The sequence below is a fragment of the Homo sapiens genome, chromosome 17 (assembly GCF_000001405.40).
Source record: "Homo sapiens chromosome 17, GRCh38.p14 Primary Assembly".
NCBI classification, from domain to species: Eukaryota; Metazoa; Chordata; class Mammalia; order Primates; family Hominidae; genus Homo; species Homo sapiens.
This window is the reverse complement of record NC_000017.11, coordinates 37,978,007-38,002,215: the sequence shown is the minus strand read 5'-3', so window position 1 is coordinate 38,002,215 and position 24,209 is coordinate 37,978,007. Positions and strand designations below refer to the sequence as shown.

The 24,209-nt window shown below is 50.5% G+C and overlaps 1 protein-coding gene across 8 annotated transcripts; it reads left to right on the top strand.

Moving 5' to 3' along the window:
- The first annotated feature begins 13,155 nt into the window (after positions 1-13,155).
- On the top strand, positions 13,156-24,061 carry TBC1D3L (TBC1 domain family member 3L). Of its 8 annotated transcripts, none has more exons than NR_170630.1 (14): positions 13,156-14,767; positions 14,930-15,015; positions 16,116-16,338; positions 16,821-16,901; positions 17,345-17,452; positions 17,782-17,891; positions 19,140-19,188; positions 19,732-19,852; positions 19,959-20,220; positions 20,566-20,660; positions 21,045-21,110; positions 21,574-21,673; positions 22,044-22,196; positions 23,178-24,061. NR_170630.1 is itself a non-coding variant. In NM_001291459.2 (14 exons), the coding sequence occupies exons 2-14, from the start codon at positions 14,696-14,698 to the stop codon at positions 23,744-23,746; spliced, it is 1,650 nt and encodes a 549-aa protein (NP_001278388.1). In that variant the 5' UTR covers positions 13,156-13,266; position 14,695; the 3' UTR covers positions 23,747-24,061. The 8 variants fall into 8 exon arrangements, 7 of the variants coding, with proteins under 7 accessions (NP_001278388.1, XP_011522477.1, NP_001356429.1 ...); NM_001291459.2 differs by lacking the exon at positions 19,959-20,220 and having other exon boundaries at positions 13,156-13,266; positions 14,695-14,767; positions 16,299-16,338; XM_011524175.3 differs by lacking the exon at positions 19,959-20,220 and having other exon boundaries at positions 13,156-13,266; positions 14,695-14,767.
- The last annotated feature ends 148 nt before the right edge of the window (positions 24,062-24,209 follow it).

The window sequence follows — 24,209 nt, the reverse complement described above, 5'->3', positions numbered from 1 at the left end:
GCCTCCCGGGTTCAGGCAGTTCTCCTGCCTCAGCCTCCCTAGTAGCTGGGATTACAGGCATGCACCACCACGCCTGGCTAATTTTGTATTTTTAGTAGAGACAGGGTTTCACCATGTTGGCCAGGCTGGTCTTGAACTCCTGACATCAGGTGATCTGCCTGCCTCCGCCTGCCAAAGTGCTGGGATTACAAGTGTGAGCCACCGCGCCAAGCCATATCTGTTCTTTTTTTTTTTTTTTTTTTTTGAGACAGAGTCTCACTCTGTTGCCTAGGCCAGGCTGGAGTGTGCAGTGGTGCGATCTCGGCTCACTGCAACCTCCACTTCCCTAGTTCAAGGGATTCTCCTGCCTCAGCCTCCCTAGTAGCTGGGATTACAGGTGCATGCCACCACACCTGGCTAATTTTTGTATTTCTGTAGAGACCAGGTTTCACCATGTTAGCTAGGCTGGTCTCAAACACCCGACCTCAGGTGATCCGCCCGCCTCTGCCTCCCAAAGTGCTGGGATTACAGGCATGACCCACCGCGCCTAGTCCATATCTGTTCTTTTTTTTTTTTTTTTTTTTTTTGAGACAGAGTCTTGCTCTGTCGCCAAGGCCGGAGTGCAGTGGCGTGATCTCAGCTCACTGCAACCTCCGCCTCCCGGGTTTAAGCGATTCTCCTGCCTCATCCAAGTAGCTGGGACTACAGGCACCTGCCATCATGCCAGGCTAATTTTTGAATTTTTAGTAGAGAAGGGGTTTCACCATATTGGCCAGGCTGGTCTCGAACTCGTGACCTTGTGATCCACCCGCCTCGGCCTCCCAAAGTGCTGGGATTACAGGCCTGAGCCACCGCACCTGGCTAGCCTGTGTCTGTTCTTTAAAATTGTTTTGTTTTCCTTACTCTCAGATTCTTCTTGCTGCTTATTGTGCCTTGTTGCTGCCTGTTGTGCAATTTCTTCCCTCTTGTATTTTACTGAACTTCATCTGAAGAAGCCTTAGTAGCCAGATAAACAAGCTTGTTTGGGCTAAAAAATCAATTGCTGTGTGAGAGTTTGTTGGATTCTCTTCTGAGTAAAGGGTATGTGTTTTATTGTACGGACTTTGTATCACCTATTTTGGCTTTTCATCCAGGCCTTTTTTTTTTTTCTTTCTTTTTAGCTTCCTGGTTCTAGATACAACTGATACTCTGATACAACCTGGGTAAATGTGGTCTTGAGTAGTAAATTATCTGTGAAGCTTCTCCGAACTTTGCCACATAAATGAGCCTGCTCTTGTTGTGAAGTAAATCTTACTCTAATCTGTATGTGAGTCAGTGGGAAATAACTGAGCCTTCGGATGGCTTTTGTTGTTAACTGAGATTAGTTCTCTAGATTTTAGTGATTTTGTTTTGAACACCATACAAGTATGTGGTTCTTGGTTTATTTGGTCACTTGTAATCTCTTTAAAATTTTATTTTAAATTAGGAAGTATTTTAGAAATACAAGAAAGTCACACACTATGAGATTAAACAGATGTTAACATTTTGCCCCATTTTCATCAGACTGTGCATGCTTTTTTTGGGGGGGAATAAAATGTCACAGATACCACTAAAGCCCGTTTCCATCTCGTCCCACCCTGCCTCTAGAAGTAACTTCTTTCTTCAGGTAGGTGCGTATTATTCCTTTTTATTCCTACGTATAGTTTAAAACTTTAATTGCATATTAGTAGCCACAAACATCACATACCAATATTCTGTGCCTTTTGCATTTTTACATTAATGGTAATTATTTTTGACCTTCTGCAAATGGCTCTTTTCAGTGTTTCTTGTTAGAAAACTTGGCTCAACTTGAGTTTACTAATTATCTGCTTCTTCTTGTCTTTAGCTATTATAGAACTGTTCCACCAAGGCAACAATTATTGCTATTTTAATGGTGAAATCAGTTTTATTAGGCAAATTGACTCAGGCTTCAGACTGGCATTTGGAATTGTCACACTGGAGATTTTCTTTTACTGAAGTCTCAGGACATTGACAATCAGAAAAAAACCCTCTTGAGTCTTACTATCGTACATGTAAGATATGTTCCTGAGTGACTATAGTAAAGACTCATTCAGGAAAATGTTATCTCCGATTTCTGCCTCCCTAGCTCATAGGAAACTTCCATTGTAAAGTTGTTACCAGGCGTCAAGCTGCCTCTTTGGTACAGCCCTTACTTAGTATTTGGCTCAGTTGAAGTGCAGTCTATATAGGAGGCCAAGAAGACTTAATCCTGGGTTTGAAACAAAGCAAGGATACACTAACATTCTATCCTTTAATAACATCAAGTAGAAAAATTGAAAATGAGCTTGTTATCAGTGCACTTTTATATGCCAACCTTGTTTCACTTGTGTTTTAAACTGGGAAACTGAAGATTTTAATGCTGAAATTTCTTTGAATTATTACCTGTTTTTTTGATAGTGGAACACACAGCTAATATTTACTAATATGAAGGTGTCAAAGGTGAGAAATCATGTACTACACCATCAGGTCAGCACTACTGTTTGGAAGAGCAGCATCACAAAGAGCAGTGTTATACTGCGTTGTAGTCAGCACATACACTTATGTCCAGACAGATATTTTAAATTACCTTCTTGGGGTAGTACACATATGCTGATATCCAAAGTGCCATATAATACAATACATAGTTTTTAAACTTCATATCATTCTGATCAGAAGCTTTATAAACTGTTAGGTGAATGCTGTTAGATGATATGAGAGCACAATTTAACCTGTGTGTGTGTATATGTATGTCTTAACATCTATTAAGTGATGACTACATATGAGGCACTAAGTGCTAAAACAGAGACTTTACATAGATTATCCCATTATTGGTCAACTTTTTAAATAAGTGCATCTCTAATATAAGACAAGATGCTGACCAATTTTTAAAATGTGAATGGATTTCTATTTTTAAGATAAGTACCTTTGTTCCTTTGGTTCCTCCCTCCCACCCTTCCAGAAATGGTAGTATCCTGGAAAAAAAAAATTAGTAGCAATTCAAGAAACAGCTTAATTCATTAGTATAAATAGATGAGTTTCCCCTAAACACAGGAGGAGTTGGAAGGTACTTGAAATTGGATGTTGTGCATGGTGCCTTTCCAAAATGCACAAATACTTTCTCTCAAATGGTTGCAGTAGTAATGTGCTGTGTGATTTGGCATGTATAATGTTGTACAGGTATCTTGACATTGGTGGATTAACTGCTTGGCTACTGTGAAATTCACTGTAGATGTTGATGGATGAAAGTGTGGTTGCCTAGGTAATGATTAAGACCAGTAACTAAACCACAGTTATTATTTTGCTGGCATAAACTTCAAACTCAGAAAGGTTTTTATTCATTTTACCCATTGGAGCATACCCCAGTAAGTGCTTCATTTCTTTGTGTTTCTGATTTTTTTTTTTTTTAAGATGGAGTCTTGCTTTTGTCGCCCAGGTTGGAGTGCAATGGCGCGATTTCGGCTCACTGCAACCTCCACCTCCTGGGTTCAAGCGATTCTCCTGCCTCAGCCTCCCGAGTAGCTGGGATTACAGGTGCCTGCCACCACGCCCAGCTAATCTTTGTATTTTTAGTAGAGATGGGGTTTCACCATGTTAGCCAGGCTGGTCTCGAACCCCTGACCTCGTGATCCACCCACCTTGGCCTCCCAAAGTTCTGGGATTACAGGCATGAGCTGCCGTGCCCAGCCATGTTTCTGAATTTTTAAGTCAACTTCTGAATAGGCAAAGAATTCTTTTTGTTTTTTTGTTCAACTTTAGTGCTATAAATCGCCAGTTGGACACAAAGGTTTTAGTGCTATTTAGGTATGTTTTGGTGAAATAGTGTGAAGGAATATTGCTGCTTAAAAGATAAGCCATTCATTAAATGACGTCTTTGTTTTGAAACATGAAGACTTATGAGAAGCATTTTTTTTGTAAGCCAAAGTAGTTTCACTTTATGTGTTACAGATTTTGAATAGCTCATTATAGACTTTGTAATTTACTGTCTCTCATTTAGGCAGGTAATTTTAGTTGCCAGCTAATCATGTTTAAATATGTATTGGTTATTAATAAATGATTACCCGTATACAGGTCTTTCATGCAGATAGCGTACTACTCTGATGTTCTTACCTAGTTTTGTGGTATGTTCAGTTGTCTAAGAGCATTGTTGATCTGCACACAGATTTTGTTTGGTCTATACAGTGTTTCTGAAAACTTGAATTAGTTACCATTAATAAAAAATAGAGAGACTGCACATGAAATCTGAATTTGTAGCTTTTAAAAAAAAAAATTGGAAGATCAGGCCAGGTGCGGTGGCTCATGCCTGTAATCCCAGCACTTTGGGAGGCCGAGGCGGTCAGATCACCTGAGGTCGGGAGTTCGAGACCAGCCTGACCAACATGGAGAAACCCCGTCTGTACTAGAAATACAAAATTTACCGGGCGTGGTGGCACATGCCTGTAATCCCAGCTACTAGGGAGGCTGAGGCAGGAAAATCGCTTGAACCTGGGAGGCGGAGGTTGCGGTGAGCCGAGATCACGCCATTGCACTCCAGCCTGGGCAACAAGAGCAAAACTCCGTCTCAAAAAAAAAAAAAAAAATTGGAAGATCTGTCAGCACTAAACCTGCCAGTCACCATAGCGATAATTCTTTGGCTCCAAGAAATGGCTACCACCTCCTTCTTTTAAGGGGTTGTGCACAGCTTCCACATGGCTTGCTACACTTACCTGCCTCAGGAAGCATTTCTTTGTGATTTAGGGCATCTGTGTTTTTGTTATTTTAGATTTAGAACATTCAAATGTCTGGAAATGAATTTGAAGTTTTGTTTTAAGCAAGGTTATGACTAAATTGAAAAATGCACAAGAGGCCAGGCGTGGTGGCTGACGTCTGTAATCTCAGCACTTTGGGAGGCTGAGACGGGCGAATCACGAGGTCAGGAGTTTGAGACCAGCCTGACCAACAAGGTGAAACCCCATCTCTACTAAAAATACAAAAATTAGATGGGTGTGGTGTTGCACACCTGTAATCCCAGCTACTCAGGAGGCTGAGGCAGGAGAATCACTTGAACCTAGGAGATGGAGGTTGCAGTGAGCCAAGATCGCATCATTGCACTCCAGCCTGGGTGAGAGAGCGAGACTCCATCTCAAAAAAAAAAAAAAAAAAGAAAAATGCACAAGAGTGTTAAACAAGCAGTTCACAGTGGAAAAACTTAATGGCGCGTGCACACACACACACACACACACGAGAAAAGATGCATAGTAACCAATGTTATTAGTAATCAGGGAAATTCTGATTAAACCAATGGACTATCAGTACAAAAATTTTTTTTTTTAATTTTTGAGACAAAGTTTTGCTCTTGTTGCCCAGGCTGGAGTGCAATGGCTCAATCTAGCTCACTGCAACCTCCACTACCTGGGTTCAAGTGATTCTCCTGCTTCAGCCTTCCAAGTAGCTGGGATTACAGGCACGCACCACAGGCCTGGCTAATTTTTTTTTTTTTTTTTTTTTTTTTTTTTTTTAGTAGAAATGGGGTTTCACCATGTTGGTCAGGCTGGTGTTGAACTCCTGACCTCAAGTGATCCACCCACCTCAGCCTCCCAAAGTGCTGGGATTACAGGCGTGAGCCACTGTGCCTGGCCAGGACTATCATTTAATACCCATTAGATTGTCAAAAATACTAAAGTTTTTCAGAACATGCTGAAAGTGGGATTTCTTCATTCTTTGCTCATGGGAATGTCAGTTGACACCACTCTAGAGGATAATTTGGCAGTTCTTGGTAAAGTTGAAGATTTATGTCCAACAATCCAGAAAGTCCACTATTAGGTTCCTTTCCATGGAAAAATTCTCTCATGTGTGCACAGGAAAACATGGACCAAGATGCTAGTTTGTTTGTTTATTTATTTATTTATTTATTTTTGAGACAGAGTCTTGCTCTGTTGCTCAGGCTGGAGCGCGGTGGCACAATCTCCGCTCACTGCAAGCTCCGTCTCCCAGGTTCACATCATTCTCCTGCCTCAGCCTCCCGAGTAGCTGGGACTACAGGCACCTGCCACCATGCCCGGCTAATTTTTTGTATTTTTAGCAGAGACGGGGTTTCACCATGTTAGCCAGGATGGTCTCGATCTCCTGACCTCATGATCCGCCTGCCTCGGCCTCCCAAAGTGCTGGGATTACAGGCGTGAGCCACCGTGCCCGGCCTTAATTTTTGTATTTTTAGTGGAGATGGGGTCTCTCTACTCTCTATGTCAGCCAGGCTGGTCTTGAATTCCTGGCCTCAAGTGATCTGCCTGCCTGACCCTCCAAAAGTGCTAGGATTACAGGTGTGAGCCACCACACTCGGTGGTGATTCTCCTGCCTCAGCCTCCTGAGTAGCTGGGATTACAGGTGTGCAACACCACACCCATCTAATTTTTGTATTTTTAGTAGAGATGGGGTTTCACCTTGTTGGTCAGGCTGGTCTCAAACTCCTGACCTCGTGATTCGCCCGTCTCAGCCTCCCAAAGTGCTGAGATTACAGACGTCAGCCACCACGCCTGGCCTCTTGTGCATTTTTCAATTTAGTCATAACCTTGCTTAAAACAAAACTTCAAATTCATTTCCAGACATTTGAATGTTCTAAATCTAAAATAACAAAAACACAGATGCCCTAAATCACAAAGAAATGCTTCCTGAGGCAGGTAAGTGTAGCAAGCCATGTGGAAGCTGTGCACAACCCCTTAAAAGAAGGAGGTGGTAGCCATTTCTTGGAGCCAAAGAATTATCGCTATGGTGACTGGCAGGTTTAGTGCTGACAGATCTTCCAATTTTTTTTTTTTTTTTTGAGACGGAGTTTTGCTCTTGTTGCCCAGGCTGGAGTGCAATGGCGTGATCTCGGCTCACCGCAACCTCCGCCTCCCAGGTTCAAGCGATTTTCCTGCCTCAGCCTCCCTAGTAGCTGGGATTACAGGCATGTGCCACCACGCCCGGTAAATTTTGTATTTCTAGTACAGACGGGGTTTCTCCATGTTGGTCAGGCTGGTCTCGAACTCCCGACCTCAGGTGATCTGACCGCCTCGGCCTCCCAAAGTGCTGGGATTACAGGCATGAGCCACCGCACCTGGCCTGATCTTCCAATTTTTTTTTTTAAAAGCTACAAATTCAGATTTCATGTGCAGTCTCTCTATTTTTTATTAATGGTAACTAATTCAAGTTTTCAGAAACACTGTATAGACCAAACAAAATCTGTGTGCAGATCAACAATGCTCTTAGACAACTGAACATACCACAAAACTAGGTAAGAACATCAGAGTAGTACGCTATCTGCATGAAAGACCTGTATACGGGTAATCATTTATTAATAACCAATACATATTTAAACATGATTAGCTGGCAACTAAAATTACCTGCCTAAATGAGAGACAGTAAATTACAAAGTCTATAATGAGCTATTCAAAATCTGTAACACATAAAGTGAAACTACTTTGGCTTACAAAAAAAATGCTTCTCATAAGTCTTCATGTTTCAAAACAAAGACGTCATTTAATGAATGGCTTATCTTTTAAGCAGCAATATTCCTTCACACTATTTCACCAAAACATACCTAAATAGCACTAAAACCTTTGTGTCCAACTGGCGATTTATAGCACTAAAGTTGAACAAAAAAACAAAAAGAATTCTTTGCCTATTCAGAAGTTGACTTAAAAATTCAGAAACATGGCTGGGCACGGCAGCTCATGCCTGTAATCCCAGAACTTTGGGAGGCCAAGGTGGGTGGATCACGAGGTCAGGGGTTCGAGACCAGCCTGGCTAACATGGTGAAACCCCATCTCTACTAAAAATACAAAGATTAGCTGGGCGTGGTGGCAGGCACCTGTAATCCCAGCTACTCGGGAGGCTGAGGCAGGAGAATCGCTTGAACCCAGGAGGTGGAGGTTGCAGTGAGCCGAAATCGCGCCATTGCACTCCAACCTGGGCGACAAAAGCAAGACTCCATCTTAAAAAAAAAAAAAATCAGAAACACAAAGAAATGAAGCACTTACTGGGGTATGCTCCAATGGGTAAAATGAATAAAAACCTTTCTGAGTTTGAAGTTTATGCCAGCAAAATAATAACTGTGGTTTAGTTACTGGTCTTAATCATTACCTAGGCAACCACACTTTCATCCATCAACATCTACAGTGAATTTCACAGTAGCCAAGCAGTTAATCCACCAATGTCAAGATACCTGTACAACATTATACATGCCAAATCACACAGCACATTACTACTGCAACCATTTGAGAGAAAGTATTTGTGCATTTTGGAAAGGCACCATGCACAACATCCAATTTCAAGTACCTTCCAACTCCTCCTGTGTTTAGGGGAAACTCATCTATTTATACTAATGAATTAAGCTGTTTCTTGAATTGCTACTAATTTTTTTTTTCCAGGATACTACCATTTCTGGAAGGGTGGGAGGGAGGAACCAAAGGAACAAAGGTACTTATCTTAAAAATAGAAATCCATTCACATTTTAAAAATTGGTCAGCATCTTGTCTTATATTAGAGATGCACTTATTTAAAAAGTTGACCAATAATGGGATAATCTATGTAAAGTCTCTGTTTTAGCACTTAGTGCCTCATATGTAGTCATCACTTAATAGATGTTAAGACATACATATACACACACACAGGTTAAATTGTGCTCTCATATCATCTAACAGCATTCACCTAACAGTTTATAAAGCTTCTGATCAGAATGATATGAAGTTTAAAAACTATGTATTGTATTATATGGCACTTTGGATATCAGCATATGTGTACTACCCCAAGAAGGTAATTTAAAATATCTGTCTGGACATAAGTGTATGTGCTGACTACAACGCAGTATAACACTGCTCTTTGTGATGCTGCTCTTCCAAACAGTAGTGCTGACCTGATGGTGTAGTACATGATTTCTCACCTTTGACACCTTCATATTAGTAAATATTAGCTGTGTGTTCCACTATCAAAAAAACAGGTAATAATTCAAAGAAATTTCAGCATTAAAATCTTCAGTTTCCCAGTTTAAAACACAAGTGAAACAAGGTTGGCATATAAAAGTGCACTGATAACAAGCTCATTTTCAATTTTTCTACTTGATGTTATTAAAGGATAGAATGTTAGTGTATCCTTGCTTTGTTTCAAACCCAGGATTAAGTCTTCTTGGCCTCCTATATAGACTGCACTTCAACTGAGCCAAATACTAAGTAAGGGCTGTACCAAAGAGGCAGCTTGACGCCTGGTAACAACTTTACAATGGAAGTTTCCTATGAGCTAGGGAGGCAGAAATCGGAGATAACATTTTCCTGAATGAGTCTTTACTATAGTCACTCAGGAACATATCTTACATGTACGATAGTAAGACTCAAGAGGGTTTTTTTCTGATTGTCAATGTCCTGAGACTTCAGTAAAAGAAAATCTCCAGTGTGACAATTCCAAATGCCAGTCTGAAGCCTGAGTCAATTTGCCTAATAAAACTGATTTCACCATTAAAATAGCAATAATTGTTGCCTTGGTGGAACAGTTCTATAATAGCTAAAGACAAGAAGAAGCAGATAATTAGTAAACTCAAGTTGAGCCAAGTTTTCTAACAAGAAACACTGAAAAGAGCCATTTGCAGAAGGTCAAAAATAATTACCATTAATGTAAAAATGCAAAAGGCACAGAATATTGGTATGTGATGTTTGTGGCTACTAATATGCAATTAAAGTTTTAAACTATACGTAGGAATAAAAAGGAATAATACGCACCTACCTGAAGAAAGAAGTTACTTCTAGAGGCAGGGTGGGACGAGATGGAAACGGGCTTTAGTGGTATCTGTGACATTTTATTCCCCCCCAAAAAAAGCATGCACAGTCTGATGAAAATGGGGCAAAATGTTAACATCTGTTTAATCTCATAGTGTGTGACTTTCTTGTATTTCTAAAATACTTCCTAATTTAAAATAAAATTTTAAAGAGATTACAAGTGACCAAATAAACCAAGAACCACATACTTGTATGGTGTTCAAAACAAAATCACTAAAATCTAGAGAACTAATCTCAGTTAACAACAAAAGCCATCCGAAGGCTCAGTTATTTCCCACTGACTCACATACAGATTAGAGTAAGATTTACTTCACAACAAGAGCAGGCTCATTTATGTGGCAAAGTTCGGAGAAGCTTCACAGATAATTTACTACTCAAGACCACATTTACCCAGGTTGTATCAGAGTATCAGTTGTATCTAGAACCAGGAAGCTAAAAAGAAAGAAAAAAAAAAAAGGCCTGGATGAAAAGCCAAAATAGGTGATACAAAGTCCGTACAATAAAACACATACCCTTTACTCAGAAGAGAATCCAACAAACTCTCACACAGCAATTGATTTTTTAGCCCAAACAAGCTTGTTTATCTGGCTACTAAGGCTTCTTCAGATGAAGTTCAGTAAAATACAAGAGGGAAGAAATTGCACAACAGGCAGCAACAAGGCACAATAAGCAGCAAGAAGAATCTGAGAGTAAGGAAAACAAAACAATTTTAAAGAACAGACACAGGCTAGCCAGGTGCGGTGGCTCAGGCCTGTAATCCCAGCACTTTGGGAGGCCGAGGCGGGTGGATCACAAGGTCACGAGTTCGAGACCAGCCTGGCCAATATGGTGAAACCCCTTCTCTACTAAAAATTCAAAAATTAGCCTGGCATGATGGCAGGTGCCTGTAGTCCCAGCTACTTGGATGAGGCAGGAGAATCGCTTAAACCCGGGAGGCGGAGGTTGCAGTGAGCTGAGATCACGCCACTGCACTCCGGCCTTGGCGACAGAGCAAGACTCTGTCTCAAAAAAAAAAAAAAAAAAAAAAAGAACAGATATGGACTAGGCGCGGTGGGTCATGCCTGTAATCCCAGCACTTTGGGAGGCAGAGGCGGGCGGATCACCTGAGGTCGGGTGTTTGAGACCAGCCTAGCTAACATGGTGAAACCTGGTCTCTACAGAAATACAAAAATTAGCCAGGTGTGGTGGCATGCACCTGTAATCCCAGCTACTAGGGAGGCTGAGGCAGGAGAATCCCTTGAACTAGGGAAGTGGAGGTTGCAGTGAGCCGAGATCGCACCACTGCACACTCCAGCCTGGCCTAGGCAACAGAGTGAGACTCTGTCTCAAAAAAAAAAAAAAAAAAAAAGAACAGATATGGCTTGGCGCGGTGGCTCACACTTGTAATCCCAGCACTTTGGCAGGCGGAGGCAGGCAGATCACCTGATGTCAGGAGTTCAAGACCAGCCTGGCCAACATGGTGAAACCCTGTCTCTACTAAAAATACAAAATTAGCCAGGCGTGGTGGTGCATGCCTGTAATCCCAGCTACTAGGGAGGCTGAGGCAGGAGAACTGCCTGAACCCGGGAGGCAGAGGTTGCAGTGAGCCGAGATTGTGCCACTGCACAATCTCCCTCCTGCCATCTTGTGAAGAAGGTGCCTGCTTCCCCTTCCCCTTCTGCCATGATTGTAAGTTTCCGGAACTGCAAGTCAATTAAGCCTGTTTCCTTTATAAATTACCCAATCTCAGGTATTTCTTTACATCAGTGTGAAAACAAATGAATACAGTCCCCTTCCCTGAGGTGCCTTCTCCTTAGGCAACCAGCTGCCCCCATGCTCCTCTTCTGCCCCCCTGGTATTTCCTTTCCCCTCATGAGGCCCAAGTGATCCACATGGCCAGCCACAGCCCCATCCTACTGCAGGCCTGTGTGGCTGCTAGAGAGGCCAGGCTCCTTTCCGCACCCCGAGGCTGCCCGATATGCTTTCTGCATCCTGTAGAAAACTGACCCACTATTCTCATACTGGTGCAACTTCTTCCATTACCTCAAAACTGGACAACGTGAACTTGTTTCTTGTCTCTTCTTGCTAGGGCTGTCACTGGGACAGTCCGAGATGGGGGGGTGGGGGGAGACAATGGATGAATGGATGGATGAATGGACAGTAGTCCAGGGAGATGTCCCTGTGTGTCCTGAACTGGGACCTTCCTCCAATGAGAAGCCTTCCTGAGTGAGTTTATACAGTCATCCCTTGGTATCCATGGATTAGTTCTAGGGTCCCCGGGGATGCCAAAATCCATGGATCCTCAAGTCTCTGACATAACATGGCCTAGTATTTACATATCAGCTATGCACATCCTCCCGTAGACATTAGACCATCTCTGGATTATTCATGATGTGTAATACAATGCAGATGCTACATAAATGGTCGTGATACTGGATTCTTTAGGGAATAATGACAAGAACAAACTCTGCACATGTTCAATAGAAACATAACCGTCCAATTTATTTTCTGAATATTTTCCATCTGCTGTTGCTGAATCTACAGATGCAGAGCTCCTGGATACGAGAGCCAAGTGTGCTTTGAGAGTAGGGTGGGTGAGGTTGCTAATGAGTACAGGGGAGCAGGTGTTGATCAGGAGGACCCTGCACTGGGGCATCTGGACGTCCTGCCTCAGGACTTGAGACTCCAGTTGGATGGCACAGGCAGACTCAGCCCAGGTCAAAGCCGTCCCCTTGAAGTTTCTTTTTATCCCAAGCTCTTTCTGGCCCCTGGAATTTGGCATCCCCTAGGCCCTGTGTGGAAGGACAGATGAACCAGGTTTTAGATAACATGTCTAGAAGAGTGAGCCCCTAACTGTGTGCCCGGCACTTTCCCCACAGGATCCTCTAGCTAGAATATCCAAGGGTCATGGAGAGAAATACCCAGTTAAAATATCAGAAATGAAAAAGCGATACCATTAGAGACACTAAAAAGACCATTAGGTAATAGTACTAGCTTTTGTATTCTGAGATCCAACAGCAGCAGTCACTTCCCTCCACCGCTATGTGTATCCCAGGACCACCCTGGGCGGGGAGGGCTGAGGTTAGGGAGCAGCCATGGATGCTCTGATGCTGGCCCTGGGCCTCGGGGGTGACAGTGATGAGGAACTGGGTGCACACATGAGTGGGGCAGCCGGGCCTGGCCAGAGAAGCAGCACACACGTGCACAGATGTGTTTACCCACATACACATGTGCACGCACGTGCACAAACACATTGCAGGCAGGCATGTTGACGCCTCAGGCAGCGGAGGACCCTGACTCTGGGCGCTGCTGACCCGGGCAAGGCCCCACTGTGATTCGTGCCATGACCTCAGAATGTCACTGGTGCTTAGCACCTATCTGCTCTCTGGTCTGCCTCAGTGGTCTACAGCAGTTACACACAGGCAGTGGTATCTGTGAGCAGCTCTGTGGACTCAAAGGTTTTCTCCCTGAGAGGCACGACCCAGGCCAGCTGATTCATCAGAATCAGGTGAGCGTGACCTGCTCTCTTCCCTCCAGGCGGACTTGGGGGCAGTGGCTACGGTGCGGGCGGTGTTGGCCTCTGTGGGGCAGCTACCGAGGAGGGTCATCCCTGAGCACTCACCAGGCGCCCGTTCTACACTGCCCGTGTAGACGATTGGCTCTTTCGTCTCCATGGTGGCTTCGTAGAGTGGGTGCTGTTCCCAAATGTCCCCATTCGACAGATGAGACGTCTGGGGTCAGAGAGGCAGTAACCGGCCTGGGAATCCGGACATGACCCTGAGTTTTGCTCTCAGCCCTGCCGTGTGCTGTGCTGGAATTCAGGCCTGAACCCTGTGACCTCCCTGCCCTAGATCCCAAATCTGCCCAGGTTTCCCATCCCGATGGGGCAGAGCCTGGTCCTGGCAGAGCCACTGGTATAGAGCCACTGGTACAGATCCACTGACGGTCCTCAGAACACCTCTGTGCCCTAAGCTGGGTCCTGATGGTCGCTGTGGGCCCCACTGAACACACATGGTCCCTTGTCCGGGGGAGCCTGCTGCCCTTGGGCAGCTGTGGAAAATGAAGGAGCCCTGGAGGGCTGGCTGAGGGGAGACTATCTTCCCTTGTGTTCAAAGGGGTCCGGGCACTAGGGTTCTCCCCAGGTATTTCTTGCTCTGCGTGGTCCTCTTGAGGCCTCGCCCTCCTTTTGCCTCGAGTATTCCCAGGAGGGACGGTCCATCCAGCTGTTCTCCAGGACCAAGGACCCACTGTTCTTCCTCAGTGACCCAGGAAAATGAAGCCTCCTCCTGTTGGGACGGCTCAGAATGGTGGACTCCACAGTCCCTCCGCGAGAGACGTGGTTTCCATGCGTACAATAGATCTTTCTCATCCCCCAAACCCAACACCCTCCTGCTCAACAGGCGTTATTCCTAAAGTGGCTTCACTGTTCAGACTGAAGAGCCACGGTAGCCAAAGTGATGAGCGGAGTAGAACCGAGCAGTCGGGAGAGATCTTGTTCCCTGTAGGAAACTGGGCATCGCTGAGGCCCTGAGCATCCCAGGAGGCCGATTGCACAGAGACCTCTGGTCGCTGACCCCAGTCTGCCTCCACATCCCTGGAATAGCCCATCATGGGCCCTTCACCCTTGGCAGGTGGAAACCATTCAACCTGCTGGGGCCGGTGTGTCCCCATTTCATGGCATTGGGGGACAACAGGATTCTCTGTCTAGGTCCCACTGTACTCAAGTCCTTGGGAAGATGCCCACCCCTGCTTGGGACTTGAGACTCCAGAGACTGGAGCAGCTGTGGGCCACTGGGTCTGGCCCCTTTTTCCCTGGGGGCGGCGGTGGAATGGGGGTTACGCAGCCAGCCAGCATCTGGGAGCCCGGCGAGAGCGGTTCAGGTGTTCTCCGAAGCCGCCGCGTACGGTGTGACCTTTAGACAATTCTGTCTCACAGGATGGACGTGGTAGAGGTCGCGGGCAGTTGGTGGGCACAAGAGCGAGAGGACATCATTATGAAATACGAAAAGGTACAAGTCGGTCTGCTTCTTGGAGGGAGGCCTCTTCCAGTGTGCCCTGGTCAAAGGGTCCTGGGCTCCCTAGGAGCACAGGGCAGGGACGGGTGGCCAATGCCCCCAGGCCCTTGCACCCTTTACCTTGGACCCCTCACCAAGGCTCCCTCTGGGCTACAGGGACACCGAGCTGGGCTGCCAGAGGACAAGGGGCCTAAGCCTTTTCGAAGCTACAACAACAACGTCGATCATTTGGGGATTGTACAGTGAGTCCTCTGCACTCCCCTCACCCCTAAAGCACCTGTCTCAGCTCAGGGATGGGTTTGCTTTTAGAAAGGCCTTTCTGACGCAGGACATGTCTCACCAGGTCGGGTCAACCTCCTTTCCAGGGACAGAACTCCTCCCTGACTCCCCTGCAGGTCCAGCCCGAGGTTGTTAGGCCAGAGGTGTGGGGCCCATCTAGGGAGCCGGTGGGAATGGAGACTGGGCTAGGTCAGGCCCCTGGGCGCTCAGCAGTTCTGTCGGCAAGTGAGCACAAGAGGAGCGGGGCAGCCTGAGGGTCTGGCCCTGTCTACTTGGAGACAACCCCGGTGAGATGCAAGGGTTATGGCCACAGGGTGAGGAGACGCCTGGCCCAGCCTCAGGGCTGTTGTCCAGCAGGTCTCTGAGGGCCCACCTGCCCCTGTTCTCCCCCATTCCCCTAGAGCTACAGCCCTCACTGTCCCGTGAGGGGAAAAGGCATGGTGACAATGGGGGCTGTAGCCCTAGGAGAACGGGGGAGAAGATGGGCAGGGCCCCGTTCTGGGCATCTCACGGTGAGGCCAGGGAGGCAGCAGGGCTCGCGGCTAAAGACCTGGGTCTGGTGCTGGGAAGGGATCTGGGGCCGGGTAAGAGGAGCCCAGCCAGGAGCCCATCCCTCAGGGATCACAGGATGGAGAGACAGAGGATCCCTGGGGAGGTAGGGCGGGAGGGAGCTGACGAGCCGTGCCACTTCTGAAACGCAGGGTGTGTGGCTCGGGTGCAGGGAGAGGCAGGTGGATGCTGGGAGGTCAGAACCTGCAAGGGCCTTGGGGCTGTCAAGTGGGGTGGGCCCCTGGTGCAGCCAGAGTACACCGGGCAGGTCTCAGGGCAGGCTCCCTTGACCCTGGCGGGGGGATGTGGTCACTCCCTGAGGGACTCCTGTCAGGGCCCGGTCGCCCACCCTGGGCGGCCCCCATCCCATCTCAGGGCTAACCTTTCTCAGCTCCAGCAGAAAGCACCACCTCGAGTCCAGGACGGGCAGCCCCATTGGGCAGCCTGACCGCCCCCCACGCCAGGGGCCCCAGTAACCCCGGCCAGGCTGTCCCTACACTCCTTCTTCTCCCAGGTCCTGCCCCTCCTGGGAGTCAGCCCCACAGGAAGGCCCTTGTCCTCCCTTCCCTGTGCCTTCTCCTGGGCTGAGCCCTGAGCTGGAAAGGGACAGAGCCAGTCCTTTCTGGGGGTCGGCACCCAGGCTGGGGCCGCTCCAGGCCCCGTGCAGTTCCTCAGCTCTGCCTGGGTTGCCTTACAGTGAGACGGAGCTGCCTCCTCTGACTGCGCGGGAGGCGAAGGTAAGAGCCTGATGCGTGGAGGGGCTGGTCCAGGGACGTAGGGACTGGGCGGGTGGTCAGTGAGGCAGAGGAAGCAGCTGGCCTGAGCGGTGGCGGGTGAGGGCAACACGCTGTCACTGGGAGGGGCAGCAGTCCCTGCTGGACCTGACCCCAGGTTGCTGTTCACTTTGGCAGTTTGATAAAATTCCAAAAGGAGAACCACAGTCCTGGCTTGGGGGTGGCTGCGCGCTTGTGTCAGGACCCCACCTAGAGGCTGGGACCTAAGACTGGTGTGTCTGTGGCCTGAGGATGGTACATCCCGGGGTCCCAAAGCCAGCCCACTGGTGCTCATTTGCTCAAAGGCTCTCAGCCCTTGAGGTCTGCCCTTCCCTGGCTCCTTCCAGCTGGCTCCCACCAGGGCTCCAGAGCCCAAGACCCAGCATCCGCGGGCGGCTCTGGGAAGCCTGGCAGCTCCGCTAACTCCAACATGCCTCATTTGACAGCAAATTCGGCGGGAGATCAGCCGAAAGAGCAAGTGGGTGGATATGCTGGGAGACTGGGAGAAATACAAAAGCAGCAGAAAGGTAACGTGTGGAGGGAGGAAGCACTCTCTGCAGAGACAGGGGACAGGCACCCATGGCTGTGGCCTGGCACCATCAGCCTCTCAGAGGGTGGGCGGCACACTGTCCTCGCCCAGAGGACTGCAGGCCTGGTCGCCAGATTTCCTGCCTATTCGTGCAAGCGTCACCTTGCAGGGAGGGAATCTGAATCTAGGGCTGGGACTACCCGGAGCTCAAGGCTAGGGATGCCCTGGTGACCTGAAGGAAGGAAAAGGTTCAGATCAGAGTTTCGACTCTGAGTGTCCATCCACTCTTTCAGTCCTGGGAAGGGAGACCCTGTCCCAGCTTGATCTCACCTCTACTGAGGAATCATGGGGCCAAAACCGACAATTTCCAGAATCCCCGGGCTCTGGTCCTCACTGGGGTCACCCCGTGGCCTGTGACACCAGATCGTTTTCTGCCCACAGCTCATAGATCGAGCGTACAAGGGAATGCCCATGAACATCCGGGGCCCGATGTGGTCAGTCCTCCTGAACACTGAGGAAATGAAGTTGAAAAACCCCGGAAGATACCAGGTACGCTCAGCCAGAGCACAACAAACAGGACAGGCCGTGTCGGGGCCCAGGTCTCCAGCTGGAGGGAACGTCAAGACCACCCTGGGGAGCTGGGGGTGAAGGTCAGATGAACACCCTGGGCACAGATGGTGACACAGTCACCACAGACAAACTCAGCTCTGGTGACCCTCCCTGGCTTCAGTAACAAGCCAAAATGCAGCTTTCTGCAGAAGGAAACCTTCCTTCTGTCCTTCCTTCCCGAAGTGCTGACTGTGGGCTGACTGCCACTGGGGGCAGGGAGTCTTCCATCTGTTCTGAGACTGCTTCCTCCTCTTGGCCCTGCCCTACAGATCATGAAGGAGAAGGGCAAGAGGTCATCTGAGCACATCCAGCGCATCGACCGGGACGTAAGCGGGACATTAAGGAAGCATATATTCTTCAGGGATCGATACGGAACCAAGTAAGCCTACGGGAGCCACAGGGTCCCAGCAGAGATGGGGTGAATGAGAGGGATGGGGGCTTCCCCGGAGCAGAAGCCAGGGTCACCCAGGAGGGATGACACAGCTGCCAAGAGCTCTCCCGGCCCAGGGAGCAGCCGGCACCATGAACCGAGCACCTCCCTGGTTCCAAGCCCTGGGCCAGACTGGAACATGTGGGGCCAGAACCCAGGAGGATCCTGAGGAGATGGAAGGCAGCAAACAAAATCATGCACAATGGTGAAGGGTGCTCTCCCTGACCCATGGGGACCCATGGTAGGACCCACGGGAGGGTGGCAGGATAGAGGGCCCATGAGCCACCCCCAGGCAACAGTGACAGCACCAAATGCTGGGAGAATTAGGGGTCCTGGAAACTCTCATCCAGGTCCGCTGGGAACATGACATGGCACAGCCACGTTGGCAGCCCGTTGGGCAGTGGCTCACAAAGCTCGATGGACTTGAACCACACATCCCCAAAGTGTCACAGATATTGAACCCACTGATTTGCAAACTGACATCCACATGAAACCAGCATGCCAGGTTCACTGCTTGACTCCTCGTCACTCACACACGGAGCCTTCGGGGACGGCCTTCAACACGGGGATGGGGAGAGCAAGGCTGGTCCTCCCTTCAAACGGAAGACCCAGTGAGAAAAGGGAACGAGCCGGTGATGCCCGCACGAACGTGGGTGGATCCTAGATGCATTTTGCTGAGGGACAGAAGCCAGACCCAATAAGCTACCACAGTAGGATTCCCATTCCTAGGCCATTCTGGAAAAGGCCAAACCACAGGGACTGAGAAGCAGTCTGGGTGGCCAGGGGCTGACGGATCGGGGAGAGGCTGGGTGCATAGGGGCCACCCTGGAGACTTGGAGGATGAAGGAGTCGCCCCAGGAGGGGCTGGAGCGGTGGCCGGGAGACTCTGCACATCGGTTTGGAACCGTGGAGGAACTGTACACCCACAGACTGAACTGGCGTGTGTGCAAACTGAAAAAAAAAATCATTCAGAGTGAAAAGGATCAGGCAAGTCACTGTACAACTGGGCTATTTGCATGTCACAGATGTGGATTTTACTGAAACATTTCTTCAAGAGTCTCAGGCCCTGAAGAGCTCACTGCTTATCTGGTGAAACATCTGAACCTGAAATGGGATTTGCTGTTAGGCTTTGTAGACAAAGTGAAATTAACAACATCTGCACAAAACAAACCAAAGCCCCCTTTCTCTGTTTCCTAGGCAGCGGGAACTACTCCACATCCTCCTGGCATATGAGGAGTATAACCCGGTGAGTATTCCCGGCAGTGAGGTTCCCGGGCCATATTTCCATATTGACAGGAGTGGGTGTCTGGTGGGGGTGTCGTTGCTTCTTTTACAGTTAGTATTTGTGACCCACCAGGATATAGGAGGTAGGATGTCAGCTCACCGCTGGCATAAACCTCCAAGGAAGGGGGTGGTCTCAAGGGGTCAAGCTGAGACACAAAGGAGTCAGGGCCTGGACTCCTGGTGTCACCTGGGCCTGACCACCACTTCTCAGAACAAGAAATGACGCCCTCCTCCTGGGGCTGCCCCAAAGCCCAGGAGCTTGGCAGCATCGCACACAGGATGGTGCTATCAGCAGACATTTTGGACAAGGTGCTGAAGTGCCTGATGGACTTGGCTCTTGTCATGAAATGAATGTGCATCCTGAGGAAGCCTCTTTTTCAGAGGAAGCCTCTCCTTCAGAGGAAGCCTCTCCAGTCACCTCTGCCCTCTCCAATGACATGAGTCCTCCCAGGTGACCTCAGCCCTCCCAGGTGATGTCCTTCCATGGTGACTCTGGCTCTTGCAGGAGGTGGGCTACTGCAGGGACCTGAGCCACATCGCCGCCTTGTTCCTCCTCTATCTTCCTGAGGAGGATGCATTCTGGGCACTGGTGCAGCTGCTGGCCAGTGAGAGGCACTCCCTGCAGGGTAAGTGAACAGCTGCCCCGGGGACCTCCTGCAGCCAGACCTGGGGATGGCCACCCTGGCCAGGTGATCACAGCTTTCAGCCAAGGCACCCTCCTTGTGTCGCCAGCTTGTTGGGAGACTTTAGGATGTCTCTGCTGAGGGTCCCACAGGAGTCCACGGCTGACCCCCAAAGCCCAAATCAGACGCCTCTCATCCCCATCAGCAGAGGGCATCTCATCCTCCCCGTGGCCACCCTCTGTGTCCTGGAGCCACGCCCTCCGGCTCTGATTCTGTGCAGCTGACTCTCCCCTCCCTGAGAGTCCTCCTGCCCTCCAGCTGCCCGGGCTCCTGCTGCCATCGGTGCCCACGAACGGGCCGACCAAGCCCAGGTGGCAGCATCTCCCCATCCCCTGTTCCCTGGCCCGACCCCACTACCAGGAGATGACCGGGAAGCCCAGCGCCCACCCAGTTCCGGCCACCCTGTCGTGGCCTGAAAGTCAGGCTTGCCCTTTTTGCACCCTGGCCCAGGAGGCCTCCAGGGGAACCTCCAGCCAGGCTCCAGGGAATGTTCCCGCCCCACCTCCCCAGGGTAAAGGCCGCATGTTGGGGTCACCAGATGGGAGGGTGGGAGGCCTTGGGGTTTGGGGGCCTCTCCAGCTGCCCAGCTCTTGCAGCTGATGGCTCCACATCTTGGGGGAAGGCTCTGATTTCATGATGGGCTGGGGGCTTCTCAGGATTTCACAGCCCAAATGGCGGGACCGTCCAGGGGCTCCAAGACCAACAGGAGCATGTGGTAGCCACGTCACAACCCAAGACCATGGGGCATCAGGTGAGTTTATGGTCCCCTCAGCTCTTCCCAGAGGCCCTGCCTCCCGTGGGGCTGTAGGAGCAGGGGGGCTGGAGCCCCTCGTGGGGCTGGTGACTGGCTGAGTCCCAGCCAGGGCCTGACCTGGGACGTCGGGTTCTCCATGGGCTGGGAGTTGGTTTCCTTTCCTGCCCTGGAGGAGACAGAGGCACAGGGATGGGGGCCCAGCTCCCGCAGAGCAGGGCAAAGGGCAGTGTGTCCACCGGGAGTGTGGGAAGGTGACAGTGTTGTGGGGAGCTCTGGACACCGCCCAGTGTTCTGCACTAGGGGAAGGGTCTTCAGAGGCCCTGGAAGAGGGAGGTTTTTAGGGCAGCCCAGTGGCCTGAGCACCTCTGTTGCTTCCATCAGGACAAGAAAGATCTATGTGGGCAGTGTTCCCCGTTAGGCTGCCTCATCCGGATATTGATTGACGGGGTAAGGAGGCATAGGGAGACCCTGGCTCAGGGACCTTCCTTGCCCTGCAGTGCCCTGCTTCCCCAGCCCGGGGGTCTGGCTCACTCCCAGCCCACAGGAGGCTCAGGCGGGTCCCCAAAGGACACACAAGCAAAACCCTCTGCCCAAGGGGGGTCATCCCAGGGCCATGGCTGGGGCTCAGGCCCAGCCTCATGGGCAGACTGGGCCAGGACCCGACTTGAGAGGGCTCAGGGAAGCCTCAAGCCCTGGGCAAGCCCCTCTCTCCAGGAGCCACATCCCCACTCAAATGAGTGCCCCCCATGAGGAGCTTCAAGACCTTGTCTGACCCAGCGTCCTGGAGGGCTCAGGCGACCCTCATGGGGAAGGTCACTGACTCTGGAGACTGAAGCCCCAGTGTGCGCAGCTCGAGCCACCAGCCCCAGCCTGGAAGGACCAGGTTCTTTCACACCTGCTGTCCCCACAGATCTCTCTCGGGCTCACCCTGCGCCTGTGGGACGTGTATCTGGTAGAAGGCGAACAGGCGTTGATGCCGATAACAAGAATCGCCTTTAAGGTTCAGCAGAGTAAGTCTACGTGTGCCCAGCGGGGCCTGGGGAGCCCTGGGGTCAGACCCCGACTGGCCCGAGGGCAGCTTCCTCACACTGTCCTCATGATCCTCTGTTCTGGCCCAGAGGGAGGTCTGGCCAGGTGGGCTGGGCAGGACACTGTGACACCGAGCCCATCCCCCACATGACCCAGATGAAAGTCGAGAGTGTGGTGAGCACTTCCCTGTCCGGATCGCCCCCCAGCCACAGTCTCCTGTGTGTATCTGGACACCTGGGGTGGCCACAAAAGGATCCGGCACCGCCCAGTAGGAGACTGAAGTGGCCACGGGGTATGAGCTGTGACCATTCCCAGGTAACTCCCCTGGCCTGATATCCACCCTGTCCCTAGAGCGCCTCACGAAGACGTCCAGGTGTGGCCCGTGGGCACGTTTTTGCAACCGGTTCGTTGATACCTGGGCCAGGGATGAGGACACTGTGCTCAAGCATCTTAGGGCCTCTATGAAGAAACTAACAAGAAAGCAGGGGGACCTGCAACCCCCAGGTGGGCTCCAGTGCCATGTCCCCTCCCATGTCACCCTCTGGGGTAGTCAGTAGTAGGGGAGTGCCCGGGACCCGCAACCCTACTACCTGGGCCTTCCTCTTCACCTTTTCTTCCTCCTCTTCCTCCTGGACTCTAAGAAAGTACAGGAGGCCCACCGGTCCTCAGGGCAGGCGCTCAGTGCGTGTATACTGGACATGCTGTGCACGCAGGAGGGGGATGTGGGCAAGACCCTCCAACAAGCCCCCTCCCACTTTCCACGGTGTCTCCCTCTCCCCCTCGCAGGGCCCTCCAAGTTACTAGACGAGCCCAGACCCATTTGTGGGAGACCCCGCCCCTCCCTGCAAGCACCCACAGCCTCAGAGAGCAGCAGAGGCCCCTCACTCCTGCACGCTCCTCCAAGGTTGCCAGGACAAGAAGCCTGGAGCCAGGGAGACAAGGGAATCCGTGTCCCTGACCCACAGAGCATTCAGGGAGAGGGCACAGGCGGGACCCCGGGCCCAGAGCCAGAGCCAAGAGTTCAGCCAGAAGTGGGAACGGTCAGTCCTGGCATGGACTGGGCAGCCCAGGAGGGCAGAGGGTGACCCACGTCCGGGCCCAATCACCCACTGCGGAGACGGGTCCCCACGTGAGGTGACAAGGGGCTGGGTGACATCCAAGGCCCCTCCCACCTGAGTTCTGACTGGGGGCCGTATCCCAGGCCCAACAGCCCTGGGACGAAGGTGTGTGGCAGGAAGCCCCCAGCCAGTCTGAACCCTGGGGGCAGTCCCAGGAGCCACCCGCCATGCCACGACAGCTTCCCCACGCCAGGCAGCACGCACCCCTCCCTCTGGGATCAGCAGACTACAGGCGTGTCCTCGGTGTCAGGCCACGGGGGCCACACAGAGACCCCGAGGACTCCAGAGACGCAGGCAGGTGGGGCCCAGCCCGGAAAGGCCTGCGTGGGCTCACTGGAGATGCTGACCGCGTCTGTTTTCCTTTCAGCCAAACCCGAGCAAGGGTCGTCGGCATCCAGGCCTGTGCCGGCTTCACGTGGCGGGAAGACCCTCTGCAAGGGGGACAGGCAGGCCCCTCCAGGCCCACCAGCCCGGTTCCCGCGGCCCATTTGGTCAGCTTCCCCGCCACGGGCACCTCGTTCTTCCACACCCTGTCCTGGTGGGGCTGTCCGGGAAGACACCTACCCTGTGGGCACTCAGGGTGTGCCCAGCCCGGCCCTGGCTCAGGGAGGACCTCAGGGTTCCTGGAGATTCCTGCAGTGGAACTCCATGCCCCGCCTCCCAACGGACCTGGACGTAGAGGGCCCTTGGTTCCGCCATTATGATTTCAGACAGAGCTGCTGGGTCCGTGCCATATCCCAGGAGGACCAGCTGGCCCCCTGCTGGCAGGCTGAACACCCTGCGGAGCGGGTGAGATCGGCTTTCGCTGCACCCAGCACTGATTCCGACCAGGGCACCCCCTTCAGAGCTAGGGACGAACAGCCGTGTGCTCCCACCTCAGGGCCTTGCCTCTGCGGCCTCCACTTGGAAAGTTCTCAGTTCCCTCCAGGCTTCTAGAAGCATCTGGGCCAGGGCTCATGGCTGGATAATTTCCCTAGGCTTAACAACCCAAGCAAGCTTCGCATCCTCGTTTTATTTTTGGTTAAACTTATGAAAATGTATTAAGAAAGAGTGCAGCTCGAGAGAGATTCAGAGATGGAACACACCAGACCCCAGATCACAAAGCCAACCATGCCCAGCCCCTCCCAGCACCCCCAGCCCCACGACCATCGTTCTGAATTCTGACGACACCGTGAGCCTGCCTTTGTACTTCAAACTCATGGAAGGATAACCACCTTCATGTTTTGAAATAAATGTTTCCTGTTGAAATGATTTTAGATTTTAGACAGAAATATTGAAAAGGCACTATAGTATCCTCCTATACCTTCCATCCAGCTGCCCCTAATAATGATGTTTTGCAGTCCCATGGCACATAAGAAATTTAGGCCGGGTGTGGTGGCTCACACCTGTAATCCCAGCA

Excerpts from the sequence above, each read along its gene's own strand:
- TBC1D3L (XM_011524175.3), top strand. The coding sequence starts at position 14,696 with ATGGACGTGGTAGAGGTCGCGGGCAGTTGGTGGGCACAAGAGCGAGAG. Across the intron at positions 16,339-16,820 it reads TGACTGCGCGGGAGGCGAAG|CAAATTCGGCGGGAGATCAG; the intron begins GTAAGAGCCTGA and ends CTCATTTGACAG. Across the intron at positions 19,853-20,565 it reads TGAGAGGCACTCCCTGCAGG|GATTTCACAGCCCAAATGGC; the intron begins GTAAGTGAACAG and ends GGGGCTTCTCAG.